Below are 13429 nucleotides of genomic sequence, written 5' to 3'. Positions count from 1 at the left end.
GGGTTCAGTTTTTGTGAATCTTAAACAGTTCAAAACCGAGTATTAGTAACTCTTCTTTTCATATTTTACAGGATACCATGAAATAGATTACATCCCATGTTCTATACATTTAATAACCTTGTTTTTGGGTTTAATGTAAACAACCTTTAGTGGCCACTACAACATGTAAGACCCTGCGCACTACTAACAGTAATAAGATATGATTCCTGACTGAAAGGAATTCATTCTTTAAAAATGTATTTTTAATTTTTATAGATGTATAATAGTTGTACATATTTATGGGGTACCTGTGGTATTTTTATACAAATATGTACAATGTGTAATGATCAAATCTGGGCAGTTTTTTGAGACAAGGTCTTGTTCTGTCACCGAGGCTGGAGTGCAGTGGTGCGATCTTGGCTCACTGCAACCTCTGCCCCCCAGGTTCAAGCAATTCTCATGCCTCAGCCTCCCGAGTAGCTGGGATCACAGGCGTGTGCCACCACGTCTGGCTAATTTTTGTATTTTTAGTAAAGATGGCGTTTCACCATGTTGGCCAGGCTGGTCTCAAACTCCTGGCTTCAAGTGATCCACCCACCTTGGCATCCCAAAATGCTGTGATTACAGGCGTGAATCACAGCACTGGCCTGAATCTAGGGTTTAAAAAAAAAAAAAAAAACGCTGCAACAGAGCCTCCAAATAACATGAAAAAATAAATCCAGTAAGATATTACTTTATATGCTTGGAACTAAGTGCTTAACATTCTGTGATTAATAATAATAAAATTTTGAGGGTGAAGCAATTGAGCACAGTATCTACATATTCTAAAACTGAACTGTAGTCACTTGTGGATTCTGTAAATATTTGGCACCAATAAACATTAATTTTTGGCTGGGCGTGCTACCTCACGCCTATAATCCTAGCACTTTGGGAGGCCTAGGTGGGTAAATTCCTTGACCCCAGGAGTTGGAGACCAGCTTGGGCAAGATGGTGAAACCCATCTCTACAAAAAATAAAACATTTAACTGAGCTTAGTGGTGCACACCTGTAGTCACAGCAGGAAGACTGATTGAGCCTGGGAGGTCGAGGCTGCAGTGAGCCAAGGGTGCACCACTGCACTCCAGCCTGGGTGACAGAACAAGACCCTGTCTCAAAAAATAAATTTTAAAAATTTATAAACATTAATTTGAGCAATATCTGTTTTTCAAGAAGGAAATTTGTGGTGTAGTGAGAGTGTTTAGCAGTTGACATGCCAGTCATGCCACTTAGGTCAGTGTAGGTGCCTCCGGAGTAGGCACCGTCAGGAAACTGAGCGACTGGGTGGTAGATGAGAATGGGCATTGACCGGGCATTGAAGCTCAGTTTGCATATCGAGAGAGGAAGCAAGTATTGGCTTTATTTTTCTTGTTAAAGTAATTCATACTTGAAAGAATTGAAACTGTGAAACTGTGTCCTAGGGAGGGTGATGGTCTGGTTTTGCCAGTCCAGCTTCTCACTGATAACCACTCTAATGTTAGCTTTGATGTGGCTTTTTCTCTATTCCGAAACTCTGAATCAGAGAAATTTAGCAGTAGAAGGAAGTGAAGAAATAAAGTCACAGTTGTTAACCTAAAATAATTTAAAAGGTCAAAATCGAGTTTAAAGAGAGTTTAAGTGTAAAGGTTGAGGACAGGCCACCTGGGAAAGGACAGATTTAAAAGCATGGAAGTCAGTGCTCGTCAGTATAGACATTTGGGATTGTTTATATAGACAAAATTTAGGGACATTTAACAGAATTTTAATATCTTAATGTAAGGCTTAATGTACAGTTATAATGATCTGATTAGTCAAGGTGCGTTTTTTAGGGAAGAAAGAATGTAACTGTCATGAGACCCCTGTTTGGGGCACCATCTGGTCTGAGTTAGGTACAGGACAATAAAGGAGGCAGTTAATCTGTAATAAAAATCAGCAATTAGAAGGAGGAGATCTGGTCTCTTTTAAAAAAAAGACTTAGTCTTTTTTTAGTTGTTTATAGAACAAGAACAATGAGGAAGAGTTAAGCTAAAAATCTAAGAAACAGAATTGTAAACATGTTACGTGACCCAGATCATAGTCATATCTCTTTCAAGGCTTAAGGTGCTTTGGAGGTTCTAAAAACGTTTGAATTTTATTTACTTTTACACAGTTGTTGTAACAGAATTGGAACTAAAATTCAGGGCTCCTCATGTCCAAGCAACAACTGCTTGGGCTTCAGTTTAGAGCCTGTATGGTTGGACAGAATCAGCAGCACTGTTTAGTTCTGGATAATCACTGACTGTGAACAACAAAAGTTGGAGAACAGAAGTCCTTGATTTTGGAATTCATTTTCAGGACTGAGGTATTATGTCATCTCCCCAAGTAGGAAATTTTGTTTCCTGTTTATCTTCTGGAGTTATAAATCAGACCAGCCTCTTTCCAAACTGAAGTGATGGTACAATACCTCATTTTTGAGCCACTAGCACCTGCAGTTGCTTTTTTACTCCAATTTTATGAGAAACTATGGCAGAAGTTGTGCTGTCGAAGCCCCCAACAAGCAGGTCAAATGGCATTAGTAGATCTCCATTTGACAGCCTGGCTTTTGTTGGGATTTCCATGGGACAAGAAAATGCAGTGCCCTTCCCTTTTCCTCTCAACACCGCTGAGAATATCTGCTGTCAAATGATGCAAATAAAATAATATGGACATGCAATACTTAAATATCCTGGATCTCTGAGCTCTTGGAAATGTACATGAAGCAATATCTTAAGAGTATAATCACAGGCCGGGTGCAGTGGCTCACACCTGTAATCCCAGCACTTTGGGAGGCTGAAGTGGGTGTATCACGAGGTCAGGAGATCAAGACCATCCTGGCTAACACAGTGAAACCCCATCTCTACTAAAAACAGAAAAAATTAGCCGGGTGTGGTGGGGGGCGCCTGTAGTCCCAGCTACTCGGGAGACTGAGGCAAGAGAATGACGAGAACCCGGGAGGCAGAGCTTGCAGTGAGCCGAGATCGCGTTGCTGCACTCCAGCCTGGGCGACAGAGCAAGACTCCGTCTCAAAAAAAGAAAAAAAAAAGTCTCAAAAAAAAAAAAGAATATAATCACATAGTAGTCAAATATTTATATATAATATATATTATATATATGTTGTACAGTATAATTTATTCGCATTACCATTGATTGCACCTTGAAGGACATAGAAACAAATGCAATGCATTTTTTTAAGTACAAAATAATAAACGGCCTAAATGTATAGCATAGAGGAAAATGTGAGTAGGAATAATTACAATGCATTTGTTGATAGACTTAACTTACAAAGCACTTTCACCTCTGTTCATTTGTTTTAACCTTCACAGCTCTGTGAGGTAATTAGAGGTTGGAAATCTTGACACAGGGGATAACATTTGGGTTATCTTTGAGCAGATGCAAGTAGTTCTCAGTGCCCTTAGGACTTTTGAAACAGCTACAGCACCTCTAATTTTAAGAGAGGAAACCTGATGAAATAAAAACCTAAATTGACTCCGTGGCCCACCCCTAGCTTATTTGAGGCTCTTCAGTTCAGTTGGCAGCTCATTTAACTGTTCTTTTGAATGAAAATACTGCAATTAGAGCTGTTTCTGTGAGTTTCCTGGTGTGCACCTTCGTAATAGTTACTTGAAACCAGTCATTAAAAGTTCCATATATCAGGCGATTAGTCCGTGTAAAGCTGATGAAAGCTGCCTTTCATCTGTTTGCGTAGGTTTCTTCCATGAGTGGTAATTTTCTTGCAGCCAGTTCAGATGATTTTCAAAGGTATTAAGACGTCTATACTCAAAATACCTGATTAGTGATGATATTGAATAAAACTTTTTTCAGCTCAATAAGTTACATAAATGCAGAACTTTATTTTAATTATTCATATATATTTAATTGAATATATATTCCTTAATTTCTCTTTAGGTGTCTTATAAGACTTTGACACTTCCTGTTTTGTCTGAAAAAAATGTGAATTACCTGTGATATTTGGACTCCAGTGTGGCTGGGCTATCTCCCCTCATACCTATAGAATTAGGTACTACCATTTTTCTCTAGTTTAGAGTGTAGGAAGGAAAGTTTCTTATCCTCCCTTTTCTCTTCATAAGGAAATGCAGCATCAGAGTGATTCTATATTCCAAGCAGTTCAAAGAATTCTGAACCATAAGCTGAGCTTAGTTTCAGGTGGACAAATAGTTTTTCAAGCACCAGAATTTTCATTATTTCAAGTAGTTTTAGTATAGCTATAAATGTTCTATAGCCTAAATGTCTTTTACTTTTCAAATTACAACACTGTAAGTATGGTAAGTCACTTTTATTTAAACAGATATCTATTAGGTCCTATTGTGTACAAGGCATATGCTAGAGAATATGAGAATGCTTACAGAAAACTATAATATATTTCCTTTCCTATCAATACATGGGAAATGCCACAAGATATACACATGCTGTGAGGGGGAAAAGGGATCTGATCTATTTAGAGAACTTATTTGGTATTCAGGAATAAGAAGAGAGCAGTTGGATAAGAATGGCTTTTATTTATTTATTGTTTTTGGTTGGGGGGTGGGGAGGTTGGGGGGCGGGGGACAGGGTCTTGCTCTGTCTCCCAGGCTGGAGTACAGTGGCGCTCTCTGGGCCTCACTACAACCTCTGCCTCCCAGGTTCAAGCGATTCTCCTGCCTTAGCCTCCAGAGTAGCTGACATTACAGGCACACGTCACCCGGCTAAATTTTGTATTTTTAGTAGAGACGGGGTTTCACCATGTTGACCAGGCTGGTCTCGAACTTCTGACCTCAGGTGATCCGCCTGCCTCAGCCTCCCATAATGCTGGGATTACAGGCGTGAGCCACTGCATCTGGCCCAAGAATGGCTTTTTTTTTTTAAAGGGGTTAAGCTTGAAGAGGAAAAAACATTTTTAAAAAATACATAAATAAATGATAAATTATAGTAATTGTTTTCCTTAAAAGAAATAGAATTTGGCTGGGTGCAGTGGCTCATGCCTGTAATCCCGGCACTTTGGGAGGCCGAGGCAGGTGGATCACGAGGTCAGGAGATCAAGACCATCCTGGCTAACACGGTGAAACCCTGTCTCTACTAAAATACAAAAAATTAGCCAGGCGTAGTGGTGCGCGCCTGTAGTCCCAGCTACTTGGGAGGCTGAGGGAGGGGAATTGCTTGAACCCGGGAGGCGGACGTTGCAGTGAGCTGAGATCCGCATCACTGCACTCCAGCCTGGCAACAGAGCAAGAGACTCCATCCAAAAAAAATAGAAATAGAATTTTGTTCTCCACAAAATAATGTGTCTGGCAAATTTTAAAGAACTCCATCAGTCCCCACTGGAGTTGTACTTAATTGCAGCCTATCAGAAACCAAATATATTAGAAGTCAGTTATATTTACATTGCTTTTATTAGTATATTTCATTTTCACTGTGTCATTTGTAACTCTCATCTTGTTTCTTCTTATTTTAGACCTGGAATGGCCAAATATCAAGGTGAAGTTCAAAGTTTGAAACTGGATGATGATTCAGTTATAGAAGGAGTAAGCGACCAAGTACTTGTGGCAGTTGTGGTCAGTTTCGCTTTGATTGCTACCCTGGTATATGCACTTTTCAGGTGAGATTTAAGGACAAAAGAATTGAGTAGATTTGCAAGGGCTGCTGACTTTTTGACCCCTAATAATGTATAATACTTAATATGAACAGCAAGTAACAGATCTCAGTGATTGTAGATGTTTACTAAGGTATTTTATTTTCCACGGGGCTTTGAATGCTAACATATATTTCCTGTCATCAGCTGTCTTACCAAATAATAATTAAATTTATCATCCACATTTTGAATAAAATATTAGTACTTTCTATTGGCGTATGGCAATTTAAAAAACTTTAATTTCCATAATTAAATCCATCAACTTGTAGGTGATATAGATGATAAGTGCAAAATACTTTCAGTTTTAAATGGAAAAATTGAGGCAAAAAAAGACTTGTATAGTAAAAAGGGAACTAATATTAGAATTAATTTTTTTACTTATTTATTTATTTATTTATTTTTTGAGACGGAGTCTCAATGTGTCGTCCAGGCTGGAGTGCCATGGCACTGTCTCAGCTCACCACAACCTCTGCCTCTGGGGTTCAAGCGATTCTCCTGCCTCAGCCTCCCAAATAGCTGGGATTACAGGCACATGCCACCATGCCCGGCTTATTTTATATTTTTAGTAGAGATGGGGTTTCTCCATGTTGATCAGGCTGGTCTCAAACTCCTGACCTGAGGTGATCCACCTGCGTCAGCCTCCCAAAGTGCTGGGATTACAGGCTTGAGCCACTGCACCTGGCCCTAATTTTTTGTATTTTTTTGTAGAGACAGGATTTCGCTAGGTTGGCCAGGCTGGTCTCAAACTCCTGACCTCAAGTGAACCACCCGACTCAGCCTCCCAAAGTGCTGGGATTACACTCATGAGCCACTATGCCCAGCCTATTTATTTATTTTAGAGACAGGGTCTCGCTACATTGCCCCAGTTGGACTTGAACTCCTGGACTCAAGCAGTCCTCCCATCCCAGCTTCCCAGGTTGCTGGGACTACAGGTATGCACCACTGCACCTGATTCTAAAATTAATTTAGGCTGGATGTGGTGGCTCACGCCGGTAATCCCAGCACCTTGGGAGGCTGAGGCAGGCGGATCACCTGAGGTCAGGAGTTCGAGACTAGCCTGGCCAACATGGTGAAACCCTCGTCTCTACTAAAAATACAAAAATTAGCTGGGCATGGTGGCAGGTGCCTATAATCCCAGCTACTTGGGCGGCTGAGGCGTGAGAATCACTTGAACTTGGGAGGCAGAGGTTGCAGTGATCCAAGATAGTCTCTTATTAGGGTAACATTATCTTGATTTCAATCGGGTATTTTATAGAGTGATAATCCAGAGTGATTGATACTGGTGATACACTGTGGATATCATGGGGGAAATAATGACTAGATGATAGCAGAGTTAAGTGAACTCCACTAAGCAGGTTGTTCTTAGGATTCCTGACTAATGTTTTAATATACACCAAATAGAAGGACATTGTATATTGCTGCAGGGCTCTGTCCTTGGGCCTTTTCTATTATTATTATTATTTTTTTTTTTGAGACCGAGTCTCACTCTGTTGCCCAGGCTGGAGTGCAGTGGCGTGATCTCGGCTCACTGCAAGCTCCACTTCCCGGGTTCACGCCATTCTCCTGCCTCAGCCTCCTGAGTAGCTGGGACTACAGGTGCCCACCACCACGCCCGGCTAATTTTTTGTATTTTTAGTAGAGACGGGGTTTCACCGTGTTAGCCAGGATGGTCTCGAACTCCTGACCTCAGTTGATTCGCCCACCTCGGCCTCCCAAAATCGGGGGGTTACAGGCGTGAGCCACCGTGCCTGGCCTACCAAAAATTTTAAAATTAGGCAGGCGTGGTGGTGCATCCTGTAGTCTCAGCTACTTGGAGGCTGAGATGGCAAGATCACTTAAGCCTAGGAAGTCAAGTCTGCAGTGAGCTATGATCATACCACTGCATTTCAGCCAGGGCAACAGAATAAGACCCTGTCTCAGAAAAAACAAAACAAAAAAATAAAAATACACAAAGGACCTATATAGACATCTTTCAAAAGAAGACATACAAATGGCCAAAAGGTTTATGAAAAAATGCTCAACATTACTAATCACCAGGGAAATGCAAATTAAAACCACAATGAGAAAAAACCTTTTATCTTTTAGGATGGCTGTTATCAAAAAGATGAAAACAATAAAGATGAAAGAAGCATTGGCAAGGGTGTGGAGCAAAGGGAACTGTGGTGCACTTTTTTGGGGAGTATAAAATGGTACAGTTGCTGTGGAAAACAGTATGAAGGTTCCTCAAAAAGTTAAAAATGGACTACCATATGATCCAGCAATCACACTTCAGGGTAGTATATATCAAAAGGAAATTACATCAGTATGTTGAAAAGATTTATCTGTGTTCCTATGTTCATTGCAGCAGTATTTACAGTAGCTGAAATATGGAATCAAGTTAGGTGTTCACTAGTGAATGAATGAAGAAAATGTGGTGTGAGTATATAGATCTCTCTGTATACACAATGGAATACTTTTCAGCCCCTGAGAAGGAAGGAAATTCTGCCATTTTCAACAACATGGATGCACCTGGAGGACATGATATTAACTGAAATAAGGCACAGAAAGACAAATACTGCACGATCCCACTTAACTGTAAAATATAAAACATTTGAATTCACAGAAGCAGAGAGCAGAATGGTGGCTCTCAGGCGATGGAAAGATAGTCTAACAGCGCAAAGTTTCAGTTACACAGATGCATTTTTAAAAAGAGAGGCAGGGCGCGGTGGCTCGCGCCTGTAATTCCAGCACTTTGGGAGGCTGAGGCAGGCGGATCATCTGAGGTCAGGAGTTCAAGACCAGCCTGGCCAACATGATGAAACTCCGTCTCTACTCAAAATACAAAAATTAGCCAGGTGTGGTCGTGGGTGCCTGTAATCCCACCTACCCAGGAGGCTGAGGCAGGAGAATCGCTTGAACCTGGGAAGCAGAGGTTGCAGTGAGCTGAGATCGCACCACTGCACTCCAGCCTGGGCAACAAGCAAAACTCCATCTCAAAAGAAAAAAAAAAAAGAATTCATTTAATAAGGCAATTGTATATTGTAGATGCTGAAAACTGTATAGGCTACTTTTATAAAATTAATAGCTAAAGGTCAAATCTGCATTATGTTCAGTTTGGGACTAGCATTTTAAGCTGGAAAACATTCAGGGGAGACTGTCAAAATAGGGAAAGCTGTGGAAACAAATCATATAAAATGCTTGAAGGAAGGAGGGATGTCTAGCTTAGGGAAGGGACTCTTGGACAATAAAACTGTCTTTGTGATGAGGGCTTGGTCTTGTTAAAGAATTAAAATTTTAATTTGTGCAGCAGCAATAGAAAAAAAAAGAATTAGAGCCAGGCTCAGTGGCTCATGCCTGTAATCCTAGCACTTTGGGAGGCTGAGGTGGATGGATGGCTGGAGGTCAGGAGTTCGAGACCAGCCTGACCAACATTGTGAAACCCCATCTCTACTAAAAATATAAAAATTAGGTGGGTGTGGTTGTGGGCCCCTATAACCCCAGCTAGCTACTCGGAGGCTGAGTCAGGAGAATCTCCTGAACCTGGGAGGCAGAGGTTGCTGTGAGCCGAGATCACGCCACTGTACTCCAGCCTGGGTGACAAGAGCGAAACTCCATCTCAAAAAAAAGAAAAAAAAAGAATTAAATTTATTCTGCCAGGCGCAGTGGGCAGAACTGGGGCCACTGGAACAGTGGGTGGAGATAAATGATGAAATTTTTACTCAGCCTACAGTGACATCTTTTCAAGTTACATAATGTGCTCCCGGTTACTTGGACATTGTCTGAGGTAATCAGTGAAATAATCGTGATTACTGAGGGAATCATGATGTATTGGGGAAGGGGTGGCATTTGTAGTTTAAAATTCAGACAAGTCTCTTTTTTGTAATTTATTTAATGATTTTTAGTCATTATAATTAATTTTGTTTTGGTTTTGTGGTAAAATATACATAACAAAATTTATCATGTTAAACTTTTTAAAAAATATTTTATTTTATTTTTTTAGTAGAGACAGGTTCTCACTATGCTGGTCAGGCTGGTCTTGAACTCCTGGTCTCAAGTGATTCTTCTGCCTTGGCCTCCCAAAGTGCTGGGATTATAGGTGTGATTATAGGTCATGCCTAGACCTTTTTTTTTTTTTTTTTTTTTTTCTGAGACAGAGTCTCACTCTGTCACCTAGGCTGGAGTGCAGTGGCGCAATCTCGGCTCACTGCAAGCTCCGCCTCCCGGGTTCAAGCGATTCTTCTGCCTCAGCCTCCTGAGTAGCTGGGACTACAGGCACGCGCCACCATGCCTGGCTAATTCAGACCATTTTTAAGTGTGTAATTCCGTGGCGTTAAGTACATTCACATTGTTGTGTAACCATCATCACCATCTACTTCTAGAACTTCCTCATCATCCCAAACTTTATTTTTTTATTTTTAAATTTTAGATTTTGGGGGTGTGTGTGCAGGTCTTTTACATGGGTATGTTGCGTAATAGTGATGGCTTCTAGTGAACCCATCACCCAAATAGTGAACACTGTACTCAATAGGTAGTATTTCAACCCTTGCCCCCTTTCAGTCTCCCCACTGAAGTTCCTGATGTCTATTATTTCCATCTTTATGTTTAGCTCCCACTTATAAGTCAGAACATGTGATTTCTCTTTTTTTTTTCTCTTGAGACAGGTTCTCTCTTGGTGCCCAGGCTGGAGTGCAGTGGCACCATCTTGTCTCACTGCAACCTTCGCCCCCCAGGCTCAAATGATCCTCTCGCCTCAGCCTCCCATTTAGCTGAGACCACAGGCACACACCGCCATGGCCAGCTATTTTTTTGTATTTTTGGTAGAGACAAGGTTTCGCCATGTTGCCCAGACTGGTCTTGAACTCCTGGGCTCAAGCAATCCACCCACCTCATCCTCCCAAATTTCTGGGATTACAGGTGTGAGCCACTGTGCCCGGCCTGATCATGTGGTGTTTAATCTTCCCTAACAGAAACTTTATGCCCATCTAAGTAGCAACTCCCATGGTTCAGCTCTGGGTAACCTGTGTTCTACTTTGTGTCTCCATTAATGAGCCGATTTTATGCACCTCATAAAGTAGAATCATACAGTATTTGTTCTTTTGTGTTTAACTTGTTTCACTTAGCATAATATTTTCAAAGTTCATTTATGTTGTAACACGTATTAGAATTTCCTTCTTTTTTATCGCTAAATAATATTTCATTGGGTATGGTGCTCACACCTGTAATCCTAGCACTTTGGGAGGCTGAGGTGGGAAGATTGCTTGGGCCAGGAGTTTGAGACTAGCCTGGACAACAGAGCAAGACCTTGTCTCTAAGAAATATTAAAATTTAAAATTTCTCATTGTATGTACATACCATATTTAGTTTCTCCATTCATCTGTCAGTGGTCATTTGGGTTACTCCCACCTTTTGGCTGTTGTGAATAATGCTGCTAGGAACACTGGTGTACAAGTATCTGTTTGAGTCTGTGTTTTCAACTGGAATTTCTGGGTCATAAAGTAATTTCTATGTTTAACATTTTAAGGAACCTCCAGACTGTTTCCCACAGCAGCTGCCCTGCTTTATATTCCCACCAGCAAGGCACCATGGCAGTTTCTCTACTTCCTTGCCAACACTGTTGTTCCCTATGTGTGTGTGTTTTTTTTAATAATAACTATCCATAATAGGTATGAAGTAGTAACTCACTGTGGTTTTGATTTGTATTTCCCTACTGAGTAATGATGTTCAGCATCACTTCACATGGTTAGTGGCCATTCGTCTATCTGGTTTTTGAGGTTTCTTTTTGAGATAGGGTCTTACTCTGTTGCCCAGGCTAGAGTATAGTGGCGTGATTATGGCTCACTGCAGCCTCAATCTCCCAGGCTCAAGTGATCCTCCCACCTCAGCCTCCCGGGTAGCTGGGATGATAGGTGTGCACCACCATGCCCAACTAATTTTTGTATTTTTTGTAGAAACAGTGTTTCACCATGTTGCCCAGGCTGGTCTCAAATTCCAGGGCTCAAGTGATCTGCCCACCTCAGCCTCCCAAAGTGCGGAAGTTACAGGCATGAGCCACTGCTCCTGGCCCTAGTATTTGGTTTTCTGTTTCTATATTAATTCACTTAGGAAAATGACCTGCAGCTGCATCCATGTTGCTGCATTCTTTCCTTTTTATGGGTGCGTAGTATTCTATGGTGTATATGTACCACATTTTCTTTATCTAGTCTACCATTGATGGTCATGTAGGTTGATTCCATGTCTTTGCTCCTGTAAATAGCAACACCAGAGTTTTGACCTGCTCTGTTTTCATCCTGGGCCAATTCACTCCTCCTTAGGCAACCTGATGGGCCCCTGCTCCTGGGACGTCATCATATTGATGCCAAAGTTAGTGCAGACACCCAAGTGGCATATTGCATTACAGCTTAGAAGTCCTGGGCTCAAACAATTCTCCTGCCTCAGCCTCCTGAGTAACTGGGACTACAGGTGCGCACCGCCACACCTGGCAGTTTGTCTGTCTTCTATGGAGAATTGACTATTCAAGACCATTGCCCATTTTTGAATCGGGTTGTTTACTTTTTTGTTTTTGAGTTATAAGTGTTCTATATATATTCTGATATTATTATCAGATACAGTCATACCCCATAGATATTTCAGGTTTGGTTTCAGACCACCACAATAAAGTGAATAAAGTGAGTCATATGAATTTTTTGGTTCCCTAGTGCATATAAAAGTTATGTTCACATTATATCATAGTCTATGTGTGTAATAGCACTATGTCTAATAAACAATGTACATACTTTAATTATAAAATACTTTATTGCTAAAAAATGCTAACAGTTATCTATCTGAACCTTCAGCAAGTCGTAATGTTTTTGCTGGTGGAGAGTCTTGACTCCATGTTAACAGCTGCTGACTGATCAGGGTGGTGGTTGCTGACAGTTGAGGTGGCTGTGGCAGTTTCTTTTTTTTTGAGACAGAGTATCATTCTGTCGCCCAGGCTGGAGTGCAGTGGCGTGATCTCAGCTCACTGCAACCTTCACCTCCCAGGTTCAAGCAATTCTCCTCCCTCAGCCTCCTGAGTAGCTGGGATTACAGGTGCGCACCACCATGCCCAGCTAATTTTTGTATTTTTAATAGAGATGGGGTTTCACCATGTTGGTCAGGCTTGTCTTGAACTCCTGACCTCATGATCCGCCCGCCTCAGCCTCCCAAAGTGCTGGGATTACAGGCATGAGCCACTGCGCCTGGCTGGCAATTTCTTAAAATGAGACAACAAATAAAGTTGACACATTGACTGACTTTTCCTTTCACAAAAGATTTCTCTGTATGTAGCATGTGATGCAGTTTGATTGCTTATTATCCACAGGCTTTCTTTTCAAAACTGGAGTCAGTCCTCCCAAACCCTGACTGCTTCTGCTCTATCAACTTCGTTTATGTAATATTTTAAATCCCTTGTTGTCATCTCAACAATGCTCACAATGTCATTACCAGGATTAGATTCTATCTTGAGAAACCACTTCTTTTGCTCATCCATAGGAAGCAACTCCTCATCTGATCAAGTATTGTCATGATGCAGCAGTTTGGTCACATCTTCGGCCTCCGCTTCTAATTCTAGTTTCCTTGCTGTTTCCACCATATCTGCAGTGACTTCTTCCTCTGAAGTCCTGAACCTCTCAAAGTCATCCATGAGGGCTGGAGTCAACTTCTTCCAAACTCCGGTTAATGTTGATATTTTGATCTCCTCCCATGAATTAAGAATGTTTTTGGTGGGGCATGGTGGCTCATGCCTGTAATTCCAGCACTTTGGGAGGGCGAGGCAGGCAGATCACTTGAGGC

General features: G+C 41.3%; 1 protein-coding gene and 1 pseudogene across 21 annotated transcripts in view; one reads left to right on the top strand and one right to left on the bottom strand.

The window, feature by feature from the left end:
* RNF170 (ring finger protein 170) overlaps nt 1-13429 on the top strand; it is a 47663-nt gene that overhangs the window by 3967 nt on the left and 30267 nt on the right. For 16 of the 21 annotated variants that reach the window (NR_027669.2, NR_027668.2, NM_001160224.2 and 13 more), the window contains exon 2: nt 5462-5605. Coding sequence is in view for 17 of the 21 variants with exons in the window: in XM_047422280.1 (XP_047278236.1) it covers nt 5462-5605 (144 nt within the window). In the remaining 4 variants the exon portion in view is untranslated. Of the gene's footprint in view, nt 1-3918; nt 4031-5461; nt 5606-13429 lie in introns of those variants that run through there. The other 5 variants (XM_047422279.1, XM_006716404.3, XM_017013881.2 and 2 more) reach the window with 3 other exon arrangements.
* Nucleotides 11816-12097, bottom strand: RN7SL806P (RNA, 7SL, cytoplasmic 806, pseudogene; annotated as a pseudogene).

This window comes from Homo sapiens, chromosome 8, assembly GCF_000001405.40.
Source record: "Homo sapiens chromosome 8, GRCh38.p14 Primary Assembly".
In the NCBI taxonomy this organism is placed as follows: Eukaryota; Metazoa; Chordata; class Mammalia; order Primates; family Hominidae; genus Homo; species Homo sapiens.
The sequence above is the reverse complement of the archived record's forward strand: the minus strand, read 5'-3'. Positions and strand labels throughout refer to the sequence as shown.